At 38.1% G+C, this 21,820-nt stretch overlaps 1 protein-coding gene across 2 annotated transcripts in view; it reads left to right on the plus strand.

The window, feature by feature from the left end:
• Positions 1-21,820, plus strand: part of FRMPD4 (FERM and PDZ domain containing 4) — a 902,085-nt gene that overhangs the window by 41,100 nt on the left and 839,165 nt on the right. For both annotated transcript variants that reach the window (NM_001368398.3, NM_001368395.3), the window contains exons 2-3: positions 1,548-1,678; positions 14,357-14,480. In NM_001368398.3, coding sequence (NP_001355327.1) covers positions 1,651-1,678; positions 14,357-14,480 — 152 coding nt within the window. In that variant the 5' untranslated portion in view covers positions 1,548-1,650. The remainder of the gene's footprint in view (positions 1-1,547; positions 1,679-14,356; positions 14,481-21,820) is intronic.

Raw genomic sequence — 21,820 nt, forward strand, 5'->3', positions numbered from 1 at the left:
AGAAAGTAATTTACATTCTTTCCCTTATTAAAAGAATGATGACACATATTATTTTATAATGCAATCATAAACTACAACCAAAGTCATAAATATTATGTATGAAAAAAACAGATTAACACTAGTTAATTCAATATAAGTTAAAAATAATGAATAATAATAATTTCTGCCCCTAGTTCAGTGCTTCTGAGGTAAAAAGAATTGATGTCTTAAATGCTTGATGAATATAGCTTAGAAATGTTTTTCTCCATTATTTGTTTCCCTCAGTATCCTTTCAATACATTTTATCTGGAATTTTGGCATGGCCATACAATGTCTTAGCTTACAGTGCTCCTTCTTTGAATAATTTGTGAAAGGACTCTTTTGACAGTCAGAAATGACTTTGACTCGATTTAATACTAATAAAGATATATGTTGAAGCTTGTATGTTGTTTGCCTGTTACTCAGATTTGTGTTATGCTTTCTCTTGCATTGAAATACTTCTATGTTTAGGGCCTTGCCATTGGTTGGCTTGGATATCATGGTAATGTCACAACTTTAGGCTGTGACTTTGCTGCAGGTGCTATTAGAAGGAGATAATAGGCTGCCAGGCAGAGGAGGGGAAGACTGGATTCCCACAAATGCTGTGGACTTGGCAAGTCACACACATTGCATGGATCTATGAAAATAACATCTACGGGAATAACTGAAATGAATAAATAAAGACTGCTCGGAAAGTTAACAAGAGTGAAGGGATGAGGGAGCAAGCAGAGAGGATCCTGGGTGTGGACTGAGGGCAGTTTAAGGGCATTGCATTGGCAGCACTAAAGGAGTGGTTAGACATGTGGGAGGGATGAGGTCAGAGGAAGCCACCTAGGGGATGCCTGAGCCCACAAGACTAAGCCAAGACCAAACATTGCAAGCAGAAGGGAAGAAGAAAATAACCAGTGCTTTTGATTTGCATGCACAATTGTACAGTAGGAGCTTTTGATATCCTTTGGGAAAAGTGTATATTTCTTCCTGAATGACTGAGGGGTTATTTAGCAAACTGAAAAGTGATCATGCCTCTTGACTTTATATGCAAAGCTATCCTGTCATTCTTTTGTTGCTTTGTGAATATTCTGGTGAATTGACGTCCTGTTTATCCATCAAGACTTCTACTCATCTGCTTTCCCACTAAGAACAAAGATGCCTTCCAAAATTGAAAAAAAATTTAATGGACACTTTCCATTGACCTTATGGCTCTTTGATTTTGTTGGCATTCTTGACTATTCTGTTTATAGTAAAATATGTTTCCCTCTCTAGTAAAATGGATTTTTTTTTCTAGTAAATGTTCTTGTGCAGAAAAATGTGAAAAAGCCCTACACTATAATTCATTGTTAGCAATAGTTTCATAAAATTGACCATTATTTAAATTGAGGGTGGTAGAGGTAGAAAAGGACATCCATTTGTGATGTTTCCAGGAAAATTTTTGCATTGAGTAAAACTGAGTGAATTATGCTGTTCTTTAAAAATGTGTAACACATTTTATACAAAGAAGATAGTCAAACCAGGTATCATTTTTCTTGTAGGTGAATGAAAAAGAGACCAAGTGAAAAAATAAGTTGATTTAGTGACCTGAATGTATCCCATAGAGTGGAAAATAAAATACAGGATCCCAAACCTTGCCCTTCCATGTCATCATCATCTTTGAAATATACAGGTAAGTGGTTATATTCATTTTGAGAGTTGACCTAGTGGCTGTGAAATAGAAAGTGGCCAAGACAACAGTGCCAGTCTGACCAAAAGATTATTTTAGTATTGTTGCAAATATAATTAGGATGGTATTGTTTTCTTCTTCATGAACATGAAAATATGTTACCTTGTGTTTTTTTAAAAGCTCATCTAGAGCTGTATGTGACATATAAAGATGTACCACACAGAACTAAATCTCCACAGCAAAGACAACTATAACAATAGCAATAGTGGTAGCTACAGCTTACAAAGTACTCATTCTATGCTGAGCCTAGTGCTAAAGTGCATTCCATAGATTTTTCTAATCAACCCTTATAGCAGGATTAATTAGAGGTAAGTATTTTCACCATTTTATGAATATGGAAACCGAGGCATAGGGAGGCTAAGACATTTGCTGAGGTTCATATGTCTAATATGACTAGTCCAGGTTTGTTTGTCTCTCTCCAAAGTTAGTACTCTTAACTAGGGCAGAATATGTTACTGGCAAACTGAGTGGTGGTCAGGATAAACCAGAACTTTCACACACTTTGTTTTTCTAAATGGATATCCAACTGTAGAGTGAGCTGAATCAAAATCAACTGACTCATACAAGTCTTTGACATGTAACTATTATATGGCCAGGTCTCTTATGATGTCTTATGTTCATTAATACTTTCTGTGGGGACAAGAATTTGCAAGTAGGTACAGTTATGTCTAAAACTCAAATTTCAAGAAATTGAGTTTTAAAGGTCTAATTGGCTTTTATTAGCAATTCATGAATTGGACAGTACCCAGTTTACAAAACAGAAAGGAACTCCCATTAGCTGAGCAGAGAGGGTGGGCTTTTTAGGCAGAAAAAGCTGAAGAAAGCAGAAACAAGGAACGAAAAGCAGATTGGTCCTTTCTGTTACTTTCCTTATAGGGAATCCTGTTGGCTTCATGGGATTTGGCTATCCTCTCTCTTCTGATTTCTTAAAAAGGTCAGATCTTACAAGTAAACAGTATAGGTTTCAGTTTGGTGACGTGTAACCTTAGCAAGAGTGACTCCATTTTGGGTTGGTCTACTGGGGCCTCATGCAGGAGTTCAGCCCAAATCAAAGGCCTTCCACAAATTTTATTTAACAGTTTCCAGGCTAATAGCTCAGGTAATAAAGGGCCAAGAACATTGGGTTTAGGCAATAGTAGGAGAAACAAGGTGAAGAAGCAGAGTCCTCCATTCTAGGGATCTGGAAATCCACAGATGGCCACTGAAGATACAGAGTAGACAAATTCTGTGAGCTACAGTGATGGTCTTCAAGCTTACTTGTTCACATATCACCTCGGTAAGAGAAAAACAAAAAACAAATAGTAAGAATGTCAGTATAGATGTGTGTCTGTATATGTATATAGATCATTACAAATAATATATACATATACAACTAGATTAATATATTAAGAGATCTTAAAATAGGTTTTTAAACATGCATTAAGTTTAGTAAAATTTCTAAAGTAATGGACTGAAGGTTGTCTTGTGTTTTTAATATTACTGAAAAATATTATAGTGGTTTGTTTTCTTGGTCTGGATGTTTAATTTTTAAAATATTTTTCAAACTGTGGTGACTTCATGCTACTATTAGCCAATTTTTAAGTGGGGAAATATACTTTTGTGGTAATATTAATAGTTAACAGTAATGGATGTTAATCCATATTTCAGATAGTCTCCTTAATTTCAATTTTTGGCTGATTTCTCTTTGGATCTGATTGTATTAGTATTTTTCAAATTGCATATCACAACAGCCTATTGAGGGATTACAATATTAATAATAATTATTTAATAAAATAGAGAAAATATCAGAGTATATTATTAAGTATTGTTCTGAAAAGCTCTCATTTCAATTATATAACTGTATCTCTATAGCTGTATATATTTACATGTCCATATATGCATATCTGAATACTGAATCATGATATGAAATCTGGTGATCAAACACTTTTGAAAGTGTTGAATTAGATAATTATTGTATTTACCCAAAACCTATAGCTTTTGAAGGGCTTATAGTAGAAGCAGAAATGTAAAGTCTACTATTTTCTTGCTTTCCTTTTGTACTTCCATTATTAACTCTGTTTCTAATGCTTGATTCCTTTGCACAGAGCTTTTTAAGCCAATTGTATTCACTTAGTTACAGCTAGATAATATAATCTGTGAATTCACTTAACAAGGCATATATCAGCTGCAACAGAATGAACGTATTGCGGGTGCTCTGACAGACCCCTTGATAACTCTTTCACCTTGGGAAATTTCCAGTACCATACCTGATTCATAACCTTCAGACATCCTGACTGAGAGAGGGTGCCAGTGGCAATCTTTATATGACCTAATTAGCAAAGCTTAATTTCTTTCTATTTTTTTAGACAAAAAATACATTTAAATAAAAATGCTGATATTTTCAGCCTGCACCCCAATGGGTCATTTTCAGTCATGCCCTGTGGAGCGTGTCCCCTGTTTGTAGGAGACATTGACTCATAGGCATGCTGGCCAGGGGTTGCAGCTACCCCTGTGTTCTGTTGTGACCTCATCTCACACCAGTCTTGTGCTTATTCGCCTGCTCTAGTCTAACCACGCTGAATGCACCAAATAAGTGCCTGCCTCAGCACATTTCCACGTTTCCAAGATCCCCATGAGGTCGGTTCCTTGTCATCATGTAGGACTTATCCCAAAAGACAACCTCTTGGAGAGGACTTCCCTACTCACTGCATTTTATGTAGCCCATTTCTCTCTTTCCGCAGCCCCTACTCTTTGTTCCATTATGCTCTTATTTATTTTATTTTTTTCACAGAAGTTACTACTATCTATTTAATGCTCCTTCACTCTACTTCAGACTCCCTTAGAACAGGACCCTGGTCTCCACTATTCACTTCCCTATCTGCAGTACATTGTCAAGGCTGAAAAGATTCGATGAATGACTCAGCACTTCTCCTGTTCTTCTGTTTCACTTGGGCCAGTCCCTTTGGGTCTCCTCTCCTCATTTGTTTCCAAAAGTGGTTCTTCCTCATGATATCATTTGGCAGAGATACTGTGTTAGGAAGGATGGGGTGATGGAAGGTGAGCCAAATGCTATGAGAACTCCCTAGAAGAAAGGCTCATGACCCAGGGGTTGAGGATGGAGGCTGGTCCTGGAAATCCTTATGGCTCACATCTGGTTATAAGATGATCAGGCCACCTATGCATTTGGGAACACAAACCTAAAAATGCTGATGTAGTAGGCTATTAACTCTACAAAATGTTGGGTCCTGTAGGCAATTTCCATGATTAGAAATTTGATTTCCAACTGGAGATGTATTCTTGAGACACAATTAGTAGAGGCTGCTAAGTTTTATCCCTGTAGATAAAATCCTACAGTCTGAACTTGGAACCAACCATATCAACTGTAGCAGAATCCCCTATCATGCCTTATGTCTTAGATGAATAAAGGAATGAATAAATAAATAACCATAGCAAATAATGAAAGCTGGGTCTGGCCGGTCTCTGACATTATTCATCTATGCAGTTTGCATCAGGGTTTGGTAAACCATGACCCACAGGCCAATTCCAGGCCACCACCACTTTTCATAAATGAAGTTCTGTTGGAACACAGAAATGCTCACTCATTGCTGTAGTGCCTTATGCACTATAACAGCAGAGCTGAATGGCTGTGAGAGACTATATGGCCCACAAAACCTAAAACATTTGCTATCTGGCCCTTTACAGGAAAACTTTGCTGACCCTTAGGCTAGAGAATGTCACTTAACTTCTATGGGCATTGATTTTTTTTTGTTTCTAAAATGAGTTGGACTTAATGGTGTCTGAGATCCTTTTCAGAGCTCACATTTGGTTTCCCTGGAATCTAAGACTCTATGTCCATAAAGAAATTCAAGGTGATACTAACTTAATGTTGTACTCATCATCTTCTCAGAAAACATATGATTTCAAGAAGTTATGTACTCATTAAATGGACATAAAGGTTTACCACATATATCTCTAAGACATACGGCATATTCCAGATTGAGTTCATTTCTGTGGTTTGATATTTAAGTGCTTGAAGCAATAGATTCATTATGTGGCTTAGTACCTTCCCAGTGCTTTCCCCAGGGGCTTTGCTAATTGTAAAGTAACTCAGAACTCTAGATAAATGGGTTCACTTACAATCTATAATGCTTTAAGCATGGATCTGGCATATATTTCAAAATAACTAAGGGAGTAAATTTCAAATGTCTCACCATGAAAAAGGATAGATAAGTGATGTGATGAATATGTTAATTAGCTTGATTTAATCATACCACATTATATACATATATCACAACATCATATTGTACCCCTTAAGTTTGTACAATTATGATTTGTCCATTGAAAATAATAGTAATGTTAAAAGAAATGAAAATAATGTTAAATATAACATTAAAATCACGGTTGAATTTCTTTGACTTGCTGTGAGGTCATTTTTGAGCCAGATAAGAAAATTGTTTGTCAATACACATCACAGGAGAAAAACTCTGGTTTAGGAAGAAAACTCTGTCTTGATTAAGTTAGAATCAATTGTATTATATCTTGATTGATTTTCTTGTTTTGGTTTAAATTATAAGTGCTTAAGTAAATAAACCCCTCATGGTTACCTTTCAAAGATCATTTGATCTGCAAAAATTTTGTTCAGGTCACAAAATTTCCATTGGATATTTCTTTCCATATGTGTCATACTTTCCCTGTTACTATTGACTGCACCCCATATCATGGGCCACTGAATATGAACATTACCATCAAATCATATAGTCCAGGGTTTCTGACAAACTGCACAAAAAGAAGTAGAATACATTGAATTTTGATCTGAGGATAAGTAGTAAGTTGCAATTCAGGCATTCTGTCTTTCCATTCATTAAACATTTATTGACCCTCTACTGTGTGGCAGTCCTGTGTCAGGAGCTAGATCTGTTTTATGTTAACTTTCATAGATTGCAAATCTATGGAAATTTAGAGATTTCACACCATGATCCCACTTGATGATTACCCCAAATTCGGGAAATTATCAAACCAAAGTTTTTACCCACCCCTCACGTTTGTGTGGGCCCTTGCTGGAAGAATATTAAAGTGGTGGGGTAAAGAGGTGAGCCCAGCCTGGCAACGCCTGGAGATGCTCCATCCTCCCCAAGGTGAGCTTCTTTATATGGGATGTTGATGTGGATGGGGGATGACCAGGAACCTTATGAACCTAAGGGCAGTGAAAAGGGCAGTGACATGGCGCTAGGGCAGGACAACCTCTGCATGCAAGAGGCCTGATTCATAATTCTTATACTGTGCTGCCTCCCAGACAAAAGCAGGAGACTGGGTTTTCAGCCCGGGGTGAGAGGGGCCCTTTTGGGTCTTCATAGTGCCCAGATACCCACTCCCAACCAAACTGCAAGAGCTGTGTCTCCGTTGGGATATAGAATGGGAGGACCAGGGAGGGGTCTATGAAACGTGAAAATTCTTTGCAAATCATCCATCACTCTTCAATTGTGACCCAACAGTAATAAAAATAGCATCTTGGACCGGCAGTAGGTAACTTTTTTTGCCTTTGGACAAGAAACTCTCTGAGCCATAATGTACTAGTGTGTGAAATAAGGGAATTGGACTAGATTAACTTGGAGGTCTTACTCAATTCTTACTTGCTATGGTTTTTGAACTTACATTGGCCTCCCAAATTAACTCTGCTTATATGAAGCTCATGCTCCACAGATCTCACGATAGCAGATGCAGCTGTGGCAGTGTCTGTTTGTATTCCCTAGGTACTCACCATCTCTGGGGCCTGTGCTGCAAGCACCTATGGCTTTGCCAGAGGCTGTGGTCTGGTTGCTGAGACATGCTTGGCTGGAAATGCAGAAGCATTAAAATCTTCAGGAACGATCCTCCATTAATGCCAAATATGAGTTGAAGAAAGATACCCTAGCATTCTTGTTCCCTGGGGGAGGCATCTCTGAAGTTTGTTCTTACCTACAGCAGTAACTTGTTGGTTAATGCACTCTGTGTTGGCTCCTTCCCTTTCTCACTTATGTCACCTCCCAAAATACCACTTGCACTCAGATCCTTATCTCAGGGTCTGCATCTGGGGGAATCCAACTGAAGACCAGCCCCAAACAAGTTCTATTGTGATTCGTCTAGTAGCATGCACATTAATTCACAGTGGGCAGGTCTTTGAGGAATACATTTTATTTGCCCCTACCAGGGTGGCCACATTTGATAAAAATACAGGACTCTATTTAAATCTGAATTTCAGATAACAGTAAATAATTGCTTAGTATAAGTATATCCTATTCCAAATATTCGATGAGATGTACTAACAAAATTCATTGTTTACTTGAAATTCAAACATAATGGGAGTCATCCTTAATTTTTCTGTCATCTGTAATCTCAACTCTGTTGGAGGGCATTGAGCATTGCAGCTAGACTGAATTCCACAGCTGGGGAAAGGAACGGTGGATTGGGATTGGCTTAGAAGATGCAAAATGTGGAGAGAGTGAAGTGGACCTAAAGCACAGTGTCCAGGGATGAAGCTGGATCAAGAACCCAAGAGTAGATGGGTGTAGGCTTGTGAATAAGGAATTATCAATTTAGTGGGCTTGCTCAGGGAGACAAAAACAAGGTGCAGCACAACAAAACTGCAACCAGCAATCTCAAACCTTGTGGGGAGGGAGATGCTGAAGTGACCAAACTTGCACAGACATTATTCATTTCCCTATCCCTACTGCCTAGCACAATGCCTAACTCATTTTTGGTGATCAGTAAACATTGAATGAATGATAGGAAGGGAAGATTGATAGAAATATGAAATTTTGCCAGCTATGAGTTTTATGGAATATGGTGCCCAATGAAAAATGCACAGAGCCTTTTTGAGCAATGACTTGCATCTGATTATAAATGCATAGAAAATATGAATTGCTGTGTGAATTCTAAGTAATGAGCTTTTCTAATGCTTTCCTCATTTTTCATTGCAGGTACAATTCAACTTAAGTCTTTCATGGTTAGACAGGTTTTTGAATGCCACTTGTATGTTCAAAGCTAATTTACTTAATAGCTACCTTATCTGAACCTTGAACAATATTACTGAAGCATTTAGATTGAGAGAAAGAGTTTGGGCGGAACATTTCCCATCCAATTTCAGAAGACTAATCAATTTACATTTTTAATGACATTTCCTTTTCTTTCTTCAGGAAGGCTGAAAGGGAGGATAAAATCTCATTCTATCTTTTTTATTTCTAACTATAAGTTCAAAGTTGAGAAAGATTGGTTTTATTCTCAGCAAACCATGTGATATTTTCCTTACTCTTTTACAGAGAAAACAAAGGGAAAAAGAAAGATAAATGACAGCACGTAGATAACACAAAAGTAGAGCCAACACTTCCTCAATTTTACTCTTGCTTTACAAAATGCAAGCAGGCTGCTCTCCAAAGGGTAGTTCCAACTTAAAATCATTTATTCTGTGGGTGATCTATTTTTTAGAGTTTAACATTTTGAGTTAACACTGTATCAGCCGTATAAGAAGGGCTGAAATCTATACCAAGGCATGGTCAGTTATTTAGACCAATTCTATGCATAAAATATTTTTAGAAAAGCTTGAAATTACTGAAGAGCCAACAAAAGCATGAAAGTGAAGGAAAATGTAAAATAACAAGTGTCTGTGAGGATGTGGAGAAATTGGAACCCTTGTGCATTGCTGGTTGAAATTTAATATGGTGTAGCCACTGTGGAAAACAGTTTGGTAGTTCCTCAAAAAGTTAACCATAGAAATTCCATATGACCCAGCAATTCTACTTCTAGGTATATGCCTGAGAGCACCAAATCTGCAGAAACACAAAAATATTTTCTCTACACTCCCCACTGTTGAAGACTACACTTTTCAAAATTTTATAAGGTTCAGTTTATCAACTCTGGACTATTTAAGAATGCTTTACCCCTAAGATCAGAAACAAGGCAAGGATTTCCACTCTAATAATTTCTATTCAGTATTTTATTGGAGGTCCTAACAAGTGGAGTAGCAAGAAAAAAAAAACAGATTAGCAAAGGAAGAAGTAAAACAGATTTCATTTGCATATTATACGATCATCTATGTAGAAAATTCTACAAAAAGTTTAATAGAACAATAAGTGAGTTTAGCAAAATTACAGATACAAGGTCACTTGTATCTGTACAAGTTATATAGTGATGAACAATCAGAAATTGAAATTTTATAATTAACATTTACAATAACATCAAGATATGAAATACTTAGGGATAAATTAGCAAAGAATGTTACTCTTTGCTGCCCTTTGCCATAGAACCTCAAAGCTACATCTGTACACTGAAAACTATAAAATATTGCTGAGGGAAACTAAAGAAGAACTAAACAGAGTTAATACTATATTCATGAGTCAGAAGACTCAATATTGTTTAAATGTCAGTTGTCCCTAACTGATCTATAGACTCGACGCAATCTCAATTACAATCCAGCAGGCTTTTTTTTTTTTAAAAAAAAGAAGAAATTAACAAGCTAATTGTAAAATTTATATGGAAATAGAAAGGACCTAGAATAGCGAAAACAATTTTGAAAAAGAAGAACAAAATTGCAGGATCTATAGTACTTGATTTTTAGGCTACAGTTACCAAAACTTATCTGTGAAAAGTCAGGCATATAGGTAATGGAACAAAATAGAGATTCCAGACATGGACCCTGTAATCCCAACTACTTGGGAGGCTGAGTCTCCAGAATCACTTCATCCCAGTAGGCAGAGGTTGCAGTGAGCCGAGATCGCACCACTGCACTCCAGCCTGGGGAACAAGGTGAAACTCTGTCTCAAAAAGAAAAACAAAAACAAAACAGGATGGTTGTGTCTGTACTGAACATGTGAACATATAAATACCTTTTTTTGTGTGTCATTATTCCCTGAACAATACAGTATAACAACTATTTTATTTTTTGAGACAGGGTCTCGCTCTGTTACTCAGGCTGGAGTGCAGTGGTGCAAACACAGTTTACTGCAGCTTTCACCTCCAAGGCTCAGGCGATCCTCCTGCCACAGCCCCTCCTGTAGCTGGGATCAGGATGAATGCCACCATGACTGGCTAGTTTTTTAAATTTTTGTAGAGACAGGGTCTCACTTTGTTGGCCAGGCTGGTCTCGAACTCCTGGGCTCAAGTGATCCTTCCGCCTCAGCCTCCCAAGGTGCTGGGATTTCAGGCGTAAGCCACCATGCCTGGCTATAAAAACTATTTACACAGCATTTATATTGTATTAGGCATTATAAGTAATCTAGCGATGATTTAACATATACAGGGGAATGTGCATAGGTTGTATGCAAATACTACACTATTTTACATAAGGGACTTGGGCATCCTCGAATTTTGGTGATTATCAGAGGGAGGTCCTAGAACTAGTCTCCCACATGGAGCTTGCATTCTACAGTGAATACAGGTACTTGCAATGTAGGGCAGAATGTGATCACTACTTTTACAGAGGTACAAAGTCCTTTAGAAGTACTGAGGTGGGGAGATTAATTCCCTGGAAGAAAGTGGAAGACATCCTAGAAAATGGCCTGTGAATCATGTGTTTGAGGAAAGATTGGTTTTGGTCAAGAAGAAGAGAAATGGTGTTTTAGTGGCAGGGAATATTGAAAAAAAACAACAATAACAAATGTTTGGAGGTGAAAATTCATAGGGAGCTCATCATATTCCTTAACAGGATTGGCACTAAAAGCATGACAAATGGCAGAAGGGAGGAAGGGCCAAAAAGTGAGACTGGAAAGAGGAGGCAGAGGCCTTGAACGTGAATGTCAGGCTGTGGATTAAGGAGTTCATCTGAACAACTTTAAATAATTCTCAACCTTTCTTAAAAGGACATAAAATTATTTTTCTCTTGGCCAGTCAAAAAAGCTCATATTCATAAATGATTTTAAAGGCATTCAAAATGTACATTTAGATTTTAAAACTAGGAAGAATAATATAATTTTATGTAAAAAGCATGAAATCTTTCAAATCTGCTCATAGATATTTTCTTTATTATCTTTCTATATAATCCTAGAAAATAAGCTCTTTGAGGGCAGGGACATGTCATTTAATTCTTTCATATTTGCTGCTGTGCAGGCCATTTGATAGGTATAACCAGCTGTGATATAAAAATGCTCTCAACATTAGTAAGAAACGAGCATTTCCAAATTTAAAAAAGGAAAGAAAAATCCACAACCTACAGCCAAGGAATAGATCTGGAAAACAGGCTAGAAACAAGAGACTTTGTTTCTTGAAGCTCCTGCTCCCAAATTCCAGCTCTCAAGTGGAGCTCCCCGACTCCACCTCCATCCAGGCCGCACTGAATATCCTGTGAATTTCCCAAGGCCAACAAGCTTCCTCCTCCTAGAATCCAGCCCCTAGAAGGGGACACAGTTCACCCATCTCAGAACACCATTCTGCTTTGTTGAAAACTCTTTTCTTCCTTCTTATCCCAAAGGAAATGGGACACAGAACCTCTCTTTGCGGCACACTCAATACCCTCTCCCATAGGAAAGCATAAACCTCTGTCCTTCAGTCACTGACCCCCCTACACTAATCTCCAAAATAAGCCCCCCAGAGGGGACAGAAAGCCTTGCTGACACCGCTTACCACTTGAGGATCTTTACCACTTGAGGATTTTTTTTTTTTTTTTTTTTTTTTGAGATGGAGTCTCGCTCTGTCGCCCAGGCTGGAGTGCAGTGGCGCGATCTCGGCTCACTGCAAGCTCCGCCTCCCGGGTTCGCGCCATTCTCCTGCCTCAGCCTCCGGAGTAGCTGGGACTACAGGCACCCACCACCATGCCCGGCTAATTTTTGTATTTTTAGTAGAGACGGGGTTTCACTGTGTTAGCCAGGATGGTCTCGTTCGCCTGACCTCGTGATCCGCCCGCCTCGGCCTCCCCACTTGAGGATCTTGTCTTCTTTTTTATCACATTCACTCCCAAGACAACTCCCACTCTGTACTATTTCTCCCTCTGGCGTGCCATTCTTTTTAATGAAATACCATCACCTGTAAACTTGCTGAATTGCACTTTTGCTTTTGAACAATCCATCTAATGTTCTCAGCATTGAATTTAAGTAGACTGTTGTTCGTGTATTTAATTGAAAATAATTTTTTCCTCATTTTTTTTTTTTTGCTTGAATCTAAGGCTCTTTAGGAAACATCCCACCTGTGGTTGATAACAGTTACACAATTGGGCTCAAGATTTATGTCCTCATTATCTCTGCCTTGATTGGTTTTGCTGTCAAAGATCAACTAGGCATAGTTTTCCAGAACAAACCCTTCTTGCAATGGATGATAGATACCAAGGTAAAATAAGAAATATGTAACTGAGGAGAAGTGAGCATATTCCAAATAGCAGGATTTGGGAACTTGGAGACTATAGCAATGAGAGGTTTGGCAGAATGTCATTGGAGAGTTATTTCCCCACTTTAAATGTGTCTCCATTGTGACAAATCAAATTGGCCACCTGCACTTGGGCATATGAGTCGTATGTTTCACCAAAACCCTTGACTGTTTACCTACCATTTGTCTTTGGCATGAGCCCATCTCAAATATAAATGATACTCCTCCTGTCTTGAACAACTTCACTAAAGAAATGGGTCTATAGCAGTGGTTTCAACCGGGGTTGATTCTGCTTCCCAGGAATATTTGGCAATGTCTGAAGACACTTTTAGTTGTCACAGCTGGGGAGATGCTACTGATATCTACTGGGCAAAGGCCAGAGATGCCACTAAACGTCCTACAATGCACAGGCCAGCCCCCCACAGCAAAGGAGTAGCCAGTCCAAAAAGTCAATAACGTCAAGGTTGAGAGACCCTGGTCTAGAGAAAAGGAGACATTGCATATCACCCAAAAGAGTATTCCCTAGTGCCCTCTGTCTATGGCATGGGAAGCTAATGCTTTCTAAAAGCTGTCTGGATCAGCTTTTTCTCGCCAAGTTTAAATTACTGGATAGGATCTAGCACTGAAATTGGCAACTTTCAAATAGCTTTAAGGTAGATGCGTTAAATCTCAAATTTGGATGAAACACAAGAAAGCCATGGGAGAAGTTAAGCAGCAATTTGAAATCTAGGAGCAATGTGAGAACTGTGTGCAGGTGGCTTCACTCCAGCTCAGAGCGCCAAATATCCCATCGTGAGTTCTCAGATGGGGAGGAGCAAATACACATTTTTCATCAGAGGCAGATGCTGAAGCTGCAGTTATGGCCCATTCAGACCTTCAGAAGGTGCCCCTTCATTCCCAGTTTGATATCACTTTGATTCTAACTGCACCGGGTTGTCCTGATTCAGAGGGGTCAGCACAGAACTGCAGTCAGAGATCTTGCTGTTGACTTGTCCATTTTTATGTTCCATGTCAGACCTAATTGCTGTTTTCTTAAATAAGTAGTCTGTACATCTTTACTCGTGGTCAGGAAAAAAGTTCCTGTTAATAATTTACAAAAGGCAGAGCCACTCCTCTTTTGCATCCTCAAATCTCTTGGAGCACGTGATTGTTTAAGAATATCTGGTTTCCAAGTAGCTGAGTGATGAAATATGATTGGCCTCTCAGCATCGATTCCTCCTCTCCTTCCTCTCTCTCTCTTCCTGGATAGCAGTTGTTATGATACAATCATTCTTCTTATAAAAGAATAAAGAAGAGGTTCTCTCTTTCCATCCTTAGGAAAAGGTGGGCTGTTTTGGCTTCCTACCATGGAGGAGGACCTTGAAGGAGAAAACTGGCAGACCTTCTCCATTCCCTGGTGCTTCAGCAGGGCAGCTGAGGATGAAGGAGAACATATTTGCCAGTGAGTAATGGTCTTCAAGGAAAAAATATCAGGGGTCTTATTGTTGCTTTCTGAGATGAGCTTGTGCTTTTCAGTAGGATGAATTTATTTGGAAAGAATTGAAAGCTGTGTCTCAGAATTATACAAGAACGATGCCTTTGGAGAAAAATGAAGTCCTTCTGAGTTTTGTTCAGGCAATTCAAAAATTTAAAAAGAATATTGGAGGCAAGGCATGAATATCCTGTAAAACAGAAGGACAAAGCCGTATACTACTTTGGTCATTTATTTCCTTAGGAATAAATGTCCACAGGCACTTTTGGGAAAAGAAAAACTGATTTTAGCTGCCTGTTCATTTCTATGGTATTATAATAGGCTATAATTCACAGTAAACTTTTGGCTGCACTTTTTACAAGGGAATTGAATTGTGTGCTGTGTTTATTTTCTTTTAAAGATGCTGTCTTCTCAGTGACAAATATATCTGTCAGGATGAAAAGTTTTGATTTTTCAACAGAAAATGCTATGTTGGCTATGCAAATTGGTTTGTATTTAATTGTTTCTTTATGTTCAATGGTCTTGATAAATACGTTTTTCTCCCTTGAGAACCATCATAATTTTACAGAAAGTTCAGACTATTGCTGAATGGCTTATGATTTATATAAATATGTAATTCTTTTCTTGGGGTTGTCTAGCTTTCAAATACGAGAAATTCATCAGTAATGCACACACTTTGGAATGCTGATTGGAAAATTTCCAGTTATTCTGATATTTAATGCTTTCTCATTAATCACTGGCACTGTATATTATAAGACCCTTATAAATTTGTTTAGATGATATTCTTTCAGTAGATTCTATGATTATTGAGTGTTTAAGCAGGGCAATACAAACATTATGTGCAGACCCAAATATAGAGGAACTGCCACAGGTTAAGAGAAGCTCTCCAGATTGATAAAAGTCATTGCCCTCAACTTTTGCTACTTGAGACTTTGAGCCAAATGTTTTTGAGTTTCCATAATTTTTCATGTCAATAATTACTTGGTGGCACTATTTGTCTACAACACTTTTGAGATGAGTGCAAATGAAACCTTTTTTTGTTATGCAGTTCACTGTAAGGTAGATTTAGAAATTGATGTTATTCTATGAGACTCAAACACACAAAAAAGTCTGACATTTGGAACTAGCTACTGTGATCCCCAAAAGCTGTTGGCTTGCAACATAATTTCACTGGATGACTTTTCTTTTTAGCGCCTACATTTTTCTCCTGATTTCTTACTTGAAGGGTGAAATGATTGAATGTTTGGGCTCTGGAAAGTCATCACTTAAGACATAGGATCCTGGGATTTGTGCCTCCTATCTTTCCTAATCAATAACATTCAAAGAAATAGATTCAGCTCCAAGCTCACTGAAGCTTGTTTATGGGTTTGGGAGGAAGTAAGTAATAAAAGAGGTAAGAAATATTTTAAATCAAAATACTAGGCCAAACCACTGAATTCCAGTTCAATAGTCTCTTGACTATTATAGCATCTATCTAGTAAAAGGTCTGGCTGTGATTTGTTCTCTTAAAATTAGTGCTATATATGTCTCTAAAGACTGAAGCTTTTTGTTATCCCTGGATACACCTAATAGTTTGATAGTCATTAGATTATCCAGGTTACTATATTATTTTATATATATAATTCTATTTTATTTTTAGAATCAACATAAAAAGAAACCATTATTATCACTTCAGCTTAGGTCTGCAGTGGAGAACACTCTCAACTATAGAACTATGTAAATATAGTTCAAGATTCAATGGGCAGGGATAATTATCATAGAGCCACAAGTGACGCTAGTTCAGTTTGCTCAGCTGAGTCCTACTCATGCTGTTAGCTTCGCTAGAATAAGGTCTATAATTTTTAGTCTGTCTTCCAATGGAGCAATTGAGGTTTCCCAGACTGGGGGTCTCCATGCTCCTCCATCTGTATGCCTCATGGCTGATCTGAAGGACTTATTATCATAAGACTCAAGTAAAGAGAGAGATTTACTTTTCTAAAGTTTTATAACTCTTTAAAATTAAAGTGACTTGAGATTGTTTTTGTTGTTTTGCTGTTGATTAAAGAGCAGCTAGTTCCTTTGCCAAGTAAAGCAGGTACATGGAATGGTTAGGACCGTGTTTTCTGAAACCAGCTTGATCTGGTATGCACCCTAGAGCCTTCATTTATTGGCTATATGATTTTGGGCAAGTTTGTCAGCTTCATTAAGCCTCAGTTCCCATATCTCTAAAATGAGGATAATACCTATTTCATCTGGTTGGGGAGATAAGTGAGTTACTATAGGAATTTCTCCTAACACAGTGCCTGGTTCATCCAATTATCTAGTTATTGATGATGATAACTAGATCATCACTTATTGTTAGTACTATTAGCAGTGAGAATAGAGACTTTCAAAAGCTCTTGATTGCATGCCTTCAAGTTCAGTTTGTTGAGTGAAAATTATAGGCTATATTGCTATATATCCTAATAGAAAGAATGATTCATTTAGGACTTGGGAAAAGGAGTGAGTACAGGAAGATGAGAGAGATAGTTTAATACTTCTGTCCTGTGCAATTTTTTTTGTTTTCCTAACACAAAGCTTAGTATAAAGTATAGTGAAAATTGAATTCACTTATTTTTATTTATTTATTTTTTGAGACAGAGTCTCACTCTGTCACCCAGGCTGGAATACAGTGGCACAATCTCAGTTCACTGCAACCTCTGCCTCCCATTTTCAAGTGATTCTCGTGCTTCAGCCTCCCAAGTAGCTGGAATTACAGGCACGCACCACCACACCTGGCTAATCTTTGTACTTTTAGTAGAGATGGGGTTTCACCATGTTGGCCAGGCTGGTCTTGAACTCCTGACTTCAAGTGATCCACCCACCTTGACCTCCCAAAGTGTTGGGATTACAGGCGTGAGCCACTGTGCCTGGCCTTGAATTTATTATTAGTGGGTTTATTAAATGAGGCAAAACAACAAGATGAGTGTATTTCAGTTCAACAAATATTTACTGAGAACCTACCACATTGCAAAATGCTGGAGTTCAAAGATGAAGACAAAGTTACAATGAGATGCCGTGCCACACCTATGAAAATGGCTAAAATAAAAATGCTGGCAATGCCAAATGCTGACAATTCCAAATGCTGGCAAGGATGTGGAACAACTGGAACTCTCATACATTGCCAGTATAATCTATTGGCAAAATAGTACAGTCACTTTGGAGACAGTTTGGCAGTTTCTCATAAAGCTAAAAATACATCTGCCATAATGCTCATATAATCCCACCCCGGGTATTTACCCTAGAAGAATAAAAACTTACATTCCCACAAAACCTTCTCATGAATGTTTACAGCAAGTCTATCAAAATTGCCCCAGACTGGAAACAACCCAAATACCCTTTAATGGATGAATGAATAAACAAACTATGTTAAATCCTCACAATGGAATACTACTCAGTGATACAAAGAAGCAAATTATTGATACATACAACAAATTGGATGAATGTCAAAGGCATTGGCTGAGTGAAGCCAGTTTCAAAAGGTTATTTACTGTACAATTCCATTTATAAGACATTTTCAGAGAGACAAAACTACAGTGACAGAGAACAGATCAGTGGGTGCCAAGGATTAGGGGTTGGAGGAGGGTGTGTCAGCACCCTGGGTGGTGGAAATATTCTGTATCTTGATTGTAGTCATGGTTACACAAACATATACATGTGATAAAGTTTATGGGACTGTACATCCTCCAAAGTCCATTTTATTGTACAGTCATTTAAAACATGAAAAATAAGAATATTAGTTTCTTGCCCTTAAGGAGTTCATAGGTTCAGTGAGGGAAAAACACAAACACGAATAAGTATAATACAGTGCAGTGAATGCAGCGATTAAGACTAAGACATACCAAGAACAGAGTTACCAACCAGCTTGACATGCCAGGCTGGTATGCAATGAATGAGTTACAAAAGTATCCGGGTGTTGCTGCACAAGGTTTATGAAAGCCAGAGACCCAGGCCAGTTGCTTTTGGCCAAGCACAGTCTTGTCTACCCTCAACCATTTTCTATGTGTGCCAAGATATAAAAAAAAGTTTGAAAAGAGTCTTGGCATAGTGTATTGTGAGAGCATAGAAGAGGAACACATTGCCTGGCGGACTGGGAGGGGGAATTCCCAGGGAAAGACTTCATAGAGGAGACAACACCTGCCCTGGGAATTAAAGGGTAAAGAGGAGATAGCCAAGAGAGGGCTTCTTCAGGGGAGGAGGAGGACATTTCAGCAAGTCATTCCTTGCCTGAGAAAGGTACAAAGGGGTCGAAGAGTGAGGTGTGAGTTGGGAACTCTAGGGCGTTCAAGATTATAATAGTGTGAGTGGGGCTGGCAAAGAGAGACTGTGAACAGATTTATAGAGGACCTTGTATAATAAAGGAGCATTTTGTTTTATGACATAGTTTGAGCATCCCTAATTCGAAAATCCAAAATTTGAAACTTTTTGAGCACCAACATGACGCTACAAGTGGAAAATTCCATACCTGACCCCATGTGACAGGTCGCAGTAAAAACATGGTTAAAACTTTGTTTCATGCACAAAATTATTAAAAATATTGTGTAAAATTACCTTCAGACTATGTGTATAATGTATATATGAAACATAAATGAATTTCATGTTTAGACTTGAGTCCCATCCTTGAGATATTATGTATATGTAAATATTCCAAAATCTGAAAAAATCTGAAATCCGAAACACTTCTTGTCCCAAGCATTTTGGATAAGAAATATTCAACCTGTAGTAGATTTGGAGCATATTTAGGGGCTCCCAGGGATGAGGCAGCAGAGAGGGTGATTTGATAAAAGAGAGAGGAGACTGGAGGGATGAGGTAATGGGAAGAGGTATAGGGTTTGGTCTTAACTGTCAAGTCCTAGAGAACTCTTTGGCAACACATATGGCTTTAATGGAAGACTGTGTCTCCTGGGGAGGTCCCTGCATTCATTCATCCATTATTAAATTCATTCAAACACTCTTTATTGAGCGCCTGCTCTCTGCCAGGCGCTACTCTAGGCCTTCGGGATCCAACAGTGAATGAAACCAAAGCCCAGCCTTTACAGAGCTGATATTTTAGGGGCCAAATGAGCTGAGCTTTGGCAAATTTTTGGAGTGTAAGGGGCCTCTGAGACATCCAGGTTGGCAACACCTAGTAAGTAGATGTTAGCGGTGAAGAGCAGTCTGGGCTACAAATATAAATTGGGGATCATTGGCACAAAGACAGAAATTGGAAACTTAGGCATTGGTTGAATAATCTATTTCTTTCACCTCAGTTCTCAATGATTTGCCATTGGATCTGGTCCTTATGTGTGAGGAGGGATGTATCTAGCTTATGCCATAATCTCAGGGTGCTCATTTACCCATACTTCTTTTTTTATGGCATTTTGGTAAAAGGCTCTCTAATCTTTCTTGAGGAGATTGTCTGAAGATTAACAAATATCTCTGATATGCAAAGCATTATACTAAGCTCTAGGGGGGATGGAAAATAAATAGTAGATCTAGTCCCTGTTCTGAAAACACTTCAAATCTACAAGGAGAGATCACCCCTATACACTTTGTAAATGGTCCATGGTGCTTGAGGACAGCCATAAGCAAATTCTAGGCTGCTAAGGAGATTGAAATTCTAGCTGAAATTCTAGGCTGCTAAGGAGATTGAATCTTCCAGTACGTATGCACAGGCAGAGCTGTAAAGTAATTGTCAAGGACACTTCCAAAGGGCATATGGTTTGAAACTGGTTTCTGATGCCCTGAATCCACACTGGGTTGGAATGACATAGGCCAAGTTATTGGGTCTGACTTGAGATAATTCAGATGGGCACATGCGTTTTGAAACAATTTTGACCCAGCTGTGTTGGAGCTCTTGTGACTTAGGTACCTATTGATGCCACTATGTTGATGTGGTCCCAGAACAAATCATTGAAATTCCAGCTGTTCTGATAACCAGGAAATAAACAAATGGATGTCCTTTCTTCATCTTAGGGCCTCATCTCCCCTGTGGTGGAGTTGGGACAAGGTGGGATTCAGAGGTGGGATGAGGTAGGGTACAGGCTCCATCTGGCAGGCAAAGAACCCATGACAGGGATTCATGTGCTAACCTTGTCCTCTGCTCATAAAGGACCTTTTGTCATTCTAAGCTGAGTGATTGCTCATTCTTAGAGATGTCATGGACACCTTGAATAAATGGTCTACATCTCATGTTAATTTCACCTTTAAAATCATGATGGCTCTACTTGTTTATATTCAATAAAGAATTACACTTAAAAATATTTCCTTTTCCATTTGATAATTGAGGGGATAGACGTCTCTGCTATTTTGAAGGCTTTTTGGTTACACTCAGTTTTATTGATCAGTGTTATGTTGCTTGTTCAAGGGAAGAAGGAGGAGGAATTTACATGTCCTTATTCTCAGTGCCATACTGCGCAGAAAGTCTTCAAATAAATTCTTAAGTGTTTTTCTAATGTGTGTGTATATATGTGTATGTGTGTATATATACGTATATGCAAACACACATTAGAAGAACAGTTAGGTATTTATATATACACACATATACATATACACACAAACACACATACACATAATATGAATATATATATATCCACCAATATTCATATTATAAATTTCCTTTGAATTTATGGTTTTAAGAGATAATTGAGTTACCCTTTGAGACTTAGTTCTAACAGACTTAAAAAGAGCTTTATTACCTTTTTATTATAAAATTAATTCATTCTTATAAAAATTTTTAAAATACTGGCGTGAATAAAGTAAAATGTGAAATCTGCATAATAGAGGAGAGATTAAATATAGAATAAGGATCAGGGATGTCTATCATGTGCATGACTTTGTAACAAAACACAGATTTCACATTTTGGTGGGCCCTTTTGACAAGGATCCCGACTCACCATTGCTGAATCATAATGTTCCTTGGCATGTAACAGGCCCATCGAAATGGATGCACCGAAACTGTTGTGTCATCCCACTTCTAGGTATATTATCCAAAAGAATTGAAAGCAGGATATCAAAGAGATATCTGTACAGCCATATTTACAGCAACATCATTTATAATAGCCAAGAGGTAGAAGAAGCCCAGTGTCCATCAGTGGATAAATAGATAAGCAAAATATGATATATTCATACAATGGAATATTATTCAGCCATTAAAAGGAAGGAAATGGACACAGGCTACAACATGGATGAACCTTCAGGATATTATGCTAAGTGAAATAAGCCAGTCACAAAAAGACAAAGTGCTATATGATTCTACTTATAGCACTTATTCTACTTATATGAGGTATCTAGAGTAATCTGTTGCATAGAGA

Source organism: Homo sapiens, chromosome X (genome assembly GCF_000001405.40).
Source record: "Homo sapiens chromosome X, GRCh38.p14 Primary Assembly".
In the NCBI taxonomy this organism is placed as follows: domain Eukaryota; kingdom Metazoa; phylum Chordata; class Mammalia; order Primates; family Hominidae; genus Homo; species Homo sapiens.